General features: G+C 49.6%; 2 annotated features.

Annotated features, from left to right (window-relative positions):
• Nucleotides 8,730-8,849: a silencer, noted in NCBI's record as "silent region_20931". NCBI's record gives its function as "represses an Ori minimal core promoter by ATAC-STARR-seq in GM12878 lymphoblastoid cells {active_cell/tissue: GM12878}" and the evidence as "EXISTENCE:reporter gene assay evidence [ECO:0000049][PMID:35858748]".
• Nucleotides 9,680-9,739: a silencer, noted in NCBI's record as "silent region_20930". NCBI's record gives its function as "represses an Ori minimal core promoter by ATAC-STARR-seq in GM12878 lymphoblastoid cells {active_cell/tissue: GM12878}" and the evidence as "EXISTENCE:reporter gene assay evidence [ECO:0000049][PMID:35858748]".

The raw sequence follows: 10,675 nt of genomic DNA, 5'->3' as shown, positions 1-10,675 counted from the left end.
AGCATTTACTCCAACTCCCTCAGTTTCTAGATGGAGAAATGGGTCTAGAGGGGAGGTTATCCAACTCACCAACAAAAGAACCAGGATTAGAAACGGTTTCCTGACCCTTTTCACTCCACTATGGTATTTCTCTTGTCCAAAGCAGATGGGTAGGTAGTGAACTGAGGCCCAGCCTGCTATAGGTCAGGTTTGGGAGATGGCAAATGCCCCTTTGACTGGTGCAGTGTAACGGCACCAGTGCCGCCTAGAAGGTAAGGCCTCGGCCGGGCGCAGTGGCTCATGCCTGTAATCCCAGCACTTTTGGAGGCCAAGGCAGGTGGATCACCTGAGGTCAGGAGTTCGAGACCAGCCTAGCCAACATAGTGAAACCCTGTCTCTACTAAAAATACAAAAACTATCCAGGCGTGGTGGCGCATGCCTGTAATCCCATCTACCTGGAGGCTGAGGCAGAAGAATCACTTGAACCCAGGAGAAGGAGGTTGCAGTGAACTGAGATTGCGCCACTGCACTCCAGCCCGGGCAACAGAGAAAAAAAAAACAAAGAAGAAGAAGAAGATAAGGCCTTGGGAGAAGAGGAATTTTCCTGACTAGGATTATTTTCACAATTATCTACAGTCTAGGCTATTTTGGCAAAGCCTTGGTTGAAAATCCATTTGGTGTCATTTCTCCCTAATTGGTGCTCAACCTGGTCCCCCACAAAGAGCAAATGCTTCTCTCCAAGCTTTGGGAAGCAGGGCATTCATCCTTTGGCTGTAAGCAAGGTGCCTCTCCCCAAGGCCTTTTGGACCGGTTATGGAGTGGAGGAGGGAAGGAACTTCTCTCCCCTGCTCACTTTGTGGCGGGAAGTTCTGTGGCTTTTGCAAGGACAAGTGAAGGAGGGGAAGAAGTGAGCAAGGATACTGTGGCTCTTGTGATTGGCCGTCCACAGAAGTGGTGTGTCAAAGAGCAGCCAATCTCAACCAAGCTCAGGTATTCGGACCCCTCCCTCCTGACCTCACATGGCCCCGCATGAGGTTTCTGCTTGCTTGCTCTGAGACCAAGAGAGCACTGGGAGTCCTGCCCAGCTCACACTTCCTTATACTATGGAGGCAGGAAGGAACTGGCCTGCAAGCACTTAGCTCCTGTCTGAGCAATGGCCAGACTAAACAGGGTGGGGATATGTAACTTGGGGCTGATGCCAGCCTCACTGCAGCCCCAGGCACTGGAACAACAGAGAACCCCAAATACCAGAATTCTTAATTTACTTTCCACTCTAAGCATCTGCAACAGCTTCCAGAACCCCAAATTTGCCACAGTGCACCAACGAATTCATCCTACCAGAATTCACTTAGAATTATCTGCTTGGTTCTCTGTTAAATTCCCTCTTATGGGAGAATAGGACCAGGAAGCAGGGTGACCTTGGTAAAGTCACTCCCCTTCTCTGGGCCTCAGTTTCTTCATTTGTAAAATGTGTGGGCTCAACTTTCACAGGAGGCCTCCACAGCCACCACCCACTGCCAGGTCACCATCATAACCTCCAAACTTGTCCTTCTGCTTCCACTCTTGTCCCCACCTCAATCCATGACCAACAACACAGCAGCCAAGGGACTCTCTTTAAAACACAAATGAGGTCAGGTGTGGTGGGGTCACGCTGCCTGTAATCCCAACACTTTGGGAGGCCAAGGTGGGAGGATCGGTTGAGCCCAGGGGTTCAAGACCAACCTGGGCAAGATGTTGACACTCCCCTCTCTATTCACACACACCTACACACACACACACAGCGTTAAATTGTACCACTCCCCAGCTTAAAACCTTCCCATTCCACTTTTAGTAAAATGCAAGCTCCTTACCATGGCCCACAAAAGCCCTAGTGACCTGGCCCCCAGCTAGTTGTGTAGTCTCACCTCCTGCCTCTCACTCCCTCAGTCCCTCTGTTCTAGCCGCATCAGCCTCTTGCATGTTCCTGACACATGCCAAATTTGCAGCTGACTTGGGTCTTTCCATGGCTGCACCCTCTGCCTGGATGCTCTCCTCCAAGGTTTTTGTGTTTAACTCCTAGGCATGCTTATGATCTCAGTTTATGGCCACTTCCTTGGGTAAACCCTCCTTGAACAGCTCCACTGCCCTCGTGTCAGGCTAAATCGAGTCCTCCTATTATATGCACATTCAGTGCACATTGTTCTTTTCCTTTACAGCACTTATCATAACTATAATTCTTTCTGAAATTAATAACATCTATCTCCCCTTCTAAACTGTAAACACTGTAAGGGCAGGAACCTTGTCTGTTTTATTCACGGCTTTATCTTTGGTACCTTGTGCAGTGCCTAGCACATAGGAGGAACTCACTAAAAGTTGGTTGAAAGAATGAATGCATGAAGCTCCCTGCCAGCTTGGCCTGTCCACAGTGCCAGCCCCACAGCTCTTGACCTTGCTATGGCCTTGGCAGGTCACTCTGTTCCCACCTCTCTGGGGCTTATAAAGCAGTGGTGATGACCTATTAACCTCACTGTCAGGCAAATCTGTTCTTGGAAAAGACCCGGAATGCAGTCACTCCTAAAGCCAAATGCACAAGACTTTGATTTATGTTATTCAGGCCTCTTGCTCCTCTCATGAGTGATTCAATTCCCTAAGTATCTATCAGGCACCTACTGTATGCCTGGCCCTGTCCTAGATGCTGCTAGTCTAAAAGCATTAGTCTTCCCAGACTTGGCCCAGGCTCTTCACGAGCTCACATGTAAACAACCAATTCTCACACGAGTCAGACTGTGATAAGTGCCTGGAAGGACAGAGGAAAAAGCAATTGAGTACTGATTGTCCTGTGGAAATTTAGTGGGGGAAGGAGGAGGGGCAGAAGATTGTGCAAGATCTGATTAGTGGCAGAGCAGGAGTGTGTTTCCTGGTGGAAAGATGAGCATTGAGGGAGCATGCCCATGTTGGGAGAGCATTCTAAGGAAGGGTCCATTGAGTGGCCCCCAGGGGCTGTGTGCAGTGTGGCAGGAGCACATGCACCCTTAATCCACACTTACACTCTCCACCACAGCAGCTCCCATATTACTGGGTATCAGGACCACCCAGGGAACCTCTGAAACATGCGGGACTGATGCATTCCTTCTACCCAGCCCTGTAGAATCTGATTTAGTGGAGCAGACATGGAGTGTGGCCATCTGCGTGTTTAATAAATCTCCCTATCCATGTGGTTCTGAGGCAGGTGGTCCAAAGAGAATGCTGAGAGGCCCACTGCTGGCCTGGTGGATTGGCAGGTGGCTGATTCCAGCGGGAACTGCAAAGGAAATGTAGGCCCACAGTGGGAAACCTAGGAATGAGGATTCCAGTCGCATCACTAATTGATGGGAGGCATAGCTGGGTAGGATGAGGTGGGTTTGTGGATGAGTGGCAGTCTGGGTGAGGATGCAGGCTAATGATATAAGAGAGGGTCCTGAGCTCATGACAAGGGTCCTCAGAACCTTGGTGGCTATCCACTCCCAAGTTCCCTCCCATCCCTCCGCCCAGGCCAAGAATCTCTTGAGTGACCAGGCGGTTTCTGGACCAGAAGGAAAGAAATAAGATAATGGTATCCTGGGGCTGAACCCAGGAACAGCAGAATCTCCAGGCTGCTCCATGCCTCTAAATGGGCAGTGGTGGAATCAAGTATGCTGAGGTTCAAAGGTCTACCCTATGGGTGATAAGGAGCCACAGAGAGGGAGGAGAGGACATGAATACACTTCATTCAATCATTCAATCGTGTGTTCATTCCACAGACTTGTGCTGAGGGCTAGACACTGTACTGAGCCCTGTGGGGTTTGGTAGTACCACCATCTGCCCACCTGTCAAAGCCAGAAACCAGAGTGGCATCCTAGACTCTTTCATCTGTCTAACTTATTCTCTCCCCTCAATCCATTTATCTACTCTCATTGATTCAACCTCCTAAATGTCCTCTGACTCTCAACCCTCCTCTCCAGCCCCTCTGCCACTACCTTAGTTCCAGAGCTCACTAACTCTTGCCTGGGCCATTGCAGAAGTCATTTCACTGCTCTCCCCACACTGAGGTTAGCCTCACTCCAATCCATTCCCCATACTGCAGCCAGACTGATTTGATGGTCTCTTATTTTTTTTTTAAGATGGGGTCTTGCTATGTTGTTCAGGCTGGTCTCCAAATCCTGGCCTCAAGCAATCCTCCCACCTCGGCCTCCCAAAGTGCTAGGATTACAGGCGTGAGCCACAACACCTGGCAGACTCTTAATTTTAAATAGATTTACTGAGGTATAGTTTACATACCATCCAATTCAAATTCATACCTCTTGGCCTGGCATGGTGTAGGGCTTGTAATCCCTACACTTTGGGAGGCTGAGGCAGGTGGATCACCTGAGGTCGGTAGCTCGAGACCAGCCTGGCCAACATGGTGAAACCCCATCTCTACTAAAAATACAAAAATTAGCTGGGCATGGTGGTGCACGCCTGTAGTCCCAGCTACTCGGGAGGCTGAGGCAGAAGAATCGCTTGAACCCGGGAGGCAGAGGTTGCAGTTAGCTGAGATCGCGCCACTGAACTCCAGCCTGAGTGACAGAGCAAGACTCTGTCTCAAAACAAAACAAAACAAAATTCATACCTCTTAAGTGTACAATTCAATTACTTTGAGTGTATTCACAGAGCTGTGTAACCATCACCACACTCCAACGCTAAAACATTTCCATCACCCCAGAAAGGTCCCTCGTGCCCATTGGAAGTCACTCCCTTGTTCTCAACCCTAGCCTCAGAAAACTACTAATTTACTTTCTGTATCCATGGAGTTGCATTTTCTGGGTATTTCATATAAATGGAATCATATGATATGGGGTCTTTTGTGTTTGACTTTGAGTGCCTCTCAATATAGAAGTCTGCTCAGTTACCCTTGAACAGTTTCCCATCATTCTCCATCTGAACACTTCCCGCTGCTGTTCAAGGTCCTTCATACCTGACCCTGCTCTTGAACTTCCATTGTTCCCTAACACACACCATGTACTCTTTCCTGCTTCCAAGCCTTTATGCCTACAGCTCCCCTGACTGGAATGTCCTTACCTTCCCCCTAAGCAGGCACTGCCTCTGCTATGTCTTCAACATCCCATTCCCCAAATTCTGCTTACCACTTTCACCTCTTTAGGCATTTTTCACCTTGTCTATGCTTTATTCATTGTACATCTCACACTGCATTGTAAATATTCACACACATTGGTTTCCCAGCTACATGGTAATTTCCTTGAGGGCAGGCACTATGCCTTTCATCTCCATAATCCCACATCTGGAACAGATCCTGGTCAAAAAATTGTTCGTTAAAACAAACAGAACAGCATAAGACTCTGTCCAGAAACTGCCCTTGAGGAGTTCACAGTCTTGTGAGGGAGAAAATAGCCCATTCATCAGCCAATCTACATTTACTGAGGTCGCCACTGTGTGACAGTGGGAGGAGAGAGTAAAAAGGATGAGTAAGGCATGGTGCCTTCCCTCTTGGAGCTTGCAATTGAGTCAAGAAGATACACTCCATAGATAGACGGATTGCAATGCAAAACATTACGCAGTCAAATGCTAGGTGCAACAGTGGGGTGTGTCAAGAGTCCAGGGAAAAGAGGGTAGCGACTGTTGTCGGAACACGTTGAGAAAGTCTCATGGAGGAGGAAACTGAGTGTGGGGAAGGACAGGAGGATTTGGGCAGGAGTGGGCAATGTACAGAGCATCCTTGGATGGCAGTGAGAGAGTGACTTGAGCTACATGTTGGGGCACAGGGCAGGATGGTTTGGAAGACAGAGAGCCAGGAAATCAGCTTGGAAGTGAGTGACTTCATCTAAAAGAGCGATGATAAGACCTGAACTAAAGCTCTACCAGTGGAAATGGATATGCAGCTAGAGTAGGATTTCCAGATGTAATGAATAAAAATACAGGACACAATGCAAGGGACATACTCGAACTAAAACGTTGTGTTTCTAAAATGCAAATTTAAGTGGGCATCCCTGCGTTTTCTGGCATCTATCCTGCGTTTTCTGACAGCAAGTTTGGGCCAAACTGTGAAAATCTTGAATGCCATGCTATGGTGTTTACTTTGTGCCCTGGGGGAAAGGAAGGCCCTGAAGGGTTTTAACTTGAGGACTGACCGATCAGATATGCCTCTTAGAAAGATGGCTTGGATAGAGCAAGGAGAATGGGTTGCTGGGTGGAGCAAGTTCGGAGGCTGTCACAGCAATTCAAGGGACAAAGGATTAAGCCCTGAGCCATGGCAGAGGAGTGGGCATAAAGAGGAAGGTGGGATACAGGAGCAACTCAGCCCAAATCAGAGGGTGCTACCTTAATGACAAGTGCTCACTGGGGGAGTGAGGCATGGGGATGTTGCTTGCAGAAGGAGCAGCCTCCAAGTAGGGGCTAGGCGAGCATCGAGGATCCTGTGATTTTCCTCACTACCTCCCGCTGCCCAAGGGAAGGAGGCAAGGCTTAGGTAGAAGAGCCCGAGCAGCTGCCATAGCTGAAACCTCTCCCAGGCTTTCCCCCAGTCAGTCCTGCACACTTCCCTTTCCCTCTTGGGCCCCGGCGCCCATCCAGAGCAGTGTTCTCCCATGCAGATGTGAGCATTCTGGGCTGGGTGAATCACTGTCCCTGGACAGAAGGTCCTGCCTGCCAGGGGAAGGGCCAGGCAACCCCAAAGAACACTCCAAACAGCCTCCTGTGCAAACTCTTTCAGAAAGCTTCACACAGGGGGACACAACAGGTGCCAAAACAATGCTGGCCTTTTTTTGGGGGTGACTTTCAGCACAACTGATGAAAAAGATGCCCCATCTCAGCCCTGCTGCTGGCCAGGAGTATCTAGAACACTCTCCTAAGCTCAAGCCTAGTACCCCTTGGGGATGCAAGAGTCAGGAAGGCAGAGCCTGCTTCTGTGTGTTGATTTGCTCCACCCTGGCCCAGATGCTTGAGCTAACCTCAAGTCCCGCCCCCATCCTGTGACCTCATAGCTGCACATGGATCTGCACATGGCTTCATCAGGGACAGGAGGAGGGTGATAGCAGGGAAGGGCTCTTCCCCATGGGATGCAAAGGTAGGGTTAGAATTTGCCCAAGATCCTTGCTGTCTTTCTCTAGGATCTGGGAAGCAGTGGTCCCTCGGGGCTTGGGATGGAGTTGCCAGCACCTTCCTTGGTAACCTCTGAGGCCATTATGTAGTTAGTGGGGAGGCTGCCTAGTATGGTGGTTAAGGGGAGTGGCTCTAAACTCAGATGCATCTGAGTTCTAGGCTTCATTCTCCCCTCACTAGCTGCAGAACTTGGACAAATTACTCAACCTCTCTGAGCCAGAATGTCCGCTACCAAAGTGCAAAATTGTGATAATAAAGGTACATGCTAGGATTAAATGAGATTATTCAGGTAAGCATTTAGCCTTGCATCTGGCACATAGTAAGGATTTAATAAGCGTTAGTTATTATGATTATCCCCCTTCGATTTTATGCCCATCGTCCCCTCTTGGTTCCCTCATCCCTCATCAGACCTTTTTCCCCAAGGCCACAGCTCAGGACCATCCCCTTCGGGCCACCATTGCCTGGCCACAGAGCTTCCTCATGGATCCTTCTCAGACAATCTCAGTCCTTGCTCCACAGATGGCAGTTCTCCCTGGGACTTTCACCCTAATTCGGAGCCACTTGCCCTCTATACCTCAGCACTTTGCCTTTTCTGTCTTGTGCCATTGTAGGAGAAGGAGCCAGAGACAGGGAACAAAGGACAGGGACAGAGAGCAAGCTGGCTAAGCCAGGCTGGGCAGAAGAGACGCTGAGAGTCTGTCCCGTCAACACTTTTTCCATGTGGGGAAGCAGCCACCAAGGGACTGAGCTTTCTGAGAATGTCCAGCTCCCATCCTGTCCAAAGCTGGGCTTCCCCGGGGCCACAGCCTCCACCCCAGCTGAGTTTCTGATCTCTTGGGTGGAAGGAAGGAACAAGAAGCTTAAAAAGCTCAAAAGATCACCTCCTACATAGCCCTCCTGGCAGCCCCCTCAGTCCAGCCCAGCACTGCCACCTTCGATTGCTCTCTTGCAGGCATCCACGTGCCACAGTTCACACCAACCACTGAAAACCCAAGGGGGAAGCTAATCTTTTCTTTTTTGTTTTGTTTTGTTTTTTGAGACGGAGTCTGGCTCTGTTGCTCAGGCTGGAGTACAGTGGCAGGGTCTTGGCTCACTGCAATCTCTGCCTCCTGGGCTCAAGTGATTCTCCTGCCTCAGCCTTCTGAGTAGCTGGGATTACAGGCATGCACCACTATGCCCCACTAATTTTTTGTATTTTTAGTAGAGACGGAGTTTCAAGCACGTTGGCCAGGCTGGTCTCGAACTCCTGACCTCAAGTGATCTACCCGCCTCGGCCTCCCAAAGTGTAGGGATTACAGGCGTGAGCCAGCATGCCCAGCCGGGAAAGCTATTCTTGAAAAGAGAGGGAATTCCTGAGGTTGACCCACCACCGGAGGCAGCGTTTTTTGCTCTCCAAAGTGCCCACAGGTCTCTCCAAAGGCACTTACTTCCCCTCCACCTCAGATGAGTTATGGAGAGCAAGTGTGAAAATGTCCCTGGTGCTAAATCAATTAGGATCGCCTTGGCAATCAAGTCCTTGATTTGTCAGCTTTATTTCCCAGCTTCTTCCGTACCTTCTAGGTAGAATCTCATTAACTCCTTTCCAATCTCTAGGAAAAAAGCAAGCACCTGAGAAAAAGAGGACACACACAGCTGCATTCAAGCCGCCTTCACAGAGAAAACAGGTAGTCAGTGGGGGAAAAAAATTGGCGATGTTATGCTTAAAATAGCTGGGAAATGGTAGCAGTACTTTAAAAGCAAGCCTGGCTGGGGGGCCTTTCCATTGGCCTTGCCCAGCTGTCTCCCTCCCACTCAGAACGAAATGTTCTGTCTTTTTGTGGTTGTAACCTCTTTTCACTTGGAATGACTTGCTATGTCTGGACGTTGATCAGGGCTGCTGCTCTAAGACGCTCTCACGCAATAATAAATTACCCAGTAAGCCTTGGTGTAAGATCTCCTCCCCCGCCCCCGCCCACTTTTTTCTCCTCCCCGTCCTCCTCATCCCACTGGAAAAGTCGCTGTGGTTGGTTCTTAGGCGGCTTCCAAGCCCATGCTGATCAGCATCACTTGCCTCTGGCCACCCTCCCCTGTGACCGGCAGCACATGTCGCCCCACGCGGCCCCGGCTTGGGGAGCGTAAGGCATGTGGGCCTCCATGCGGCCGCCAGACGAGGGCGGGACCGGGACGCTTCGCCCTGCCTGGGGCTCCTGGTGAGTTCCGGGTGACTGGAGTGGGGACAAGAGGCACCAGGGAAGGACGTGAGTTCTTTAGATTTTCCAAACGCCTCTGACACATGTCCTCACTCAAAGCTGCCCAAGAAAACAAAACAAGCTCCGCTAACTAGGGAGGCGGGAAAAAGTGGGGGAGGCAATGAAGGTTTGGCCTCAGAATCCCAGAACTACAGTGGGATGAGGGGTGGGCAGGGAGGAGGTGGAGAGGCAGGCAGGGCTGGCCGCCCTGGCACAGCCTTGGAAGCCAAGCTTTGGGGTTTAGAGGAGAGCAGGGGTCAAATGCCTGAGAGCCTGCCTAGGCAGGTAAGGGGAAAGGGGAAAGTGGCCAGGGTACAAGAGGGTGGTTCTCAAAATTGGCTGCAAATTATAATCACCTGGGGAGCTTTTACAAATCCGGACACCCGGGTCTCACCTTACACCAATGTTATCAGAATCCCAGGGGGTGAGACCTAGGCAGGAGTGTTTTTCTAAACTCCCCAGGTGGTTCCAATGTGCAGCTGACTCTGAAAACCAGCAGTGCAAGAGCTCGCTGCTCAGAGCTGGTCCCAAGCCCGGCAGCATGAACCACAACTGGGAGCTTGTCAGAAATGCAGAATCTTGAGCCCCAGCTGGGATCTACTGAATCAGCATTTGCATTTTAAAAATAACAGCCCTATTAAAGTATCATTCACATGCCATAAAATTCACCCTTTTAATGTGTACAATTAAGAAGTTGTTAGTATATTCAGAATGTTGTGTAACCACCACCTCTATCTGGTTCCATTTTCATCACTCCAAAAAGAAACCCCAGACCCTTTAGCAGTCAGTCCCCATTTCCCTCCCCACAGCCATGGGCAACCGCTGCTGTACTTTCTGTCTCTAAGGATTTGCTCCGTCTGGATGTCGCAATTACACACATTACGGTTTGCAAAGCACTGGCATGAAAAACCCTCTAAAACAAACGGCCCTTACTCCCTTCCCACAATCATTGCCATGCAGCCATGAGGGTCCAGAGTTGCTAGATTCTCTGCTTTTTTGCAAAAGAAGCCAATATGTGGATTTTTATGTGAAATCTTCCACTTTTTAAAAGGTTGGCAACTAATTCAAATTTATGGAAAACACTGTTCAGGCCAAACAAAACCTGCCCAAGGGCTGGATTCAGTCTGTTAGCCACCAGTTTGCAACTTCTGACAGTCACCAGGTTCTTCCCAAACCCACCCAAATCCTTTCTACTCCAGCCATAGTCTTTCTTTTTGTTCCAGTTTCCATGAGTGTGGGAAAATTACTGCTTAGTAGCCTCCTTATAAAATCTTCTCATCTTATTTCTCCCTTCTCCAAATGGACAGCCAAGCATTTCTTGAGGACCTACTATGTGCTTAGTGCTTTATATATTTTGTGAATCACTTAAATCTTCA

Source organism: Homo sapiens, chromosome X (genome assembly GCF_000001405.40).
Source record: "Homo sapiens chromosome X, GRCh38.p14 Primary Assembly".
Taxonomy (NCBI): domain Eukaryota; kingdom Metazoa; phylum Chordata; class Mammalia; order Primates; family Hominidae; genus Homo; species Homo sapiens.
The sequence above is the reverse complement of the archived record's forward strand: the minus strand, read 5'-3'. Positions and strand labels throughout refer to the sequence as shown.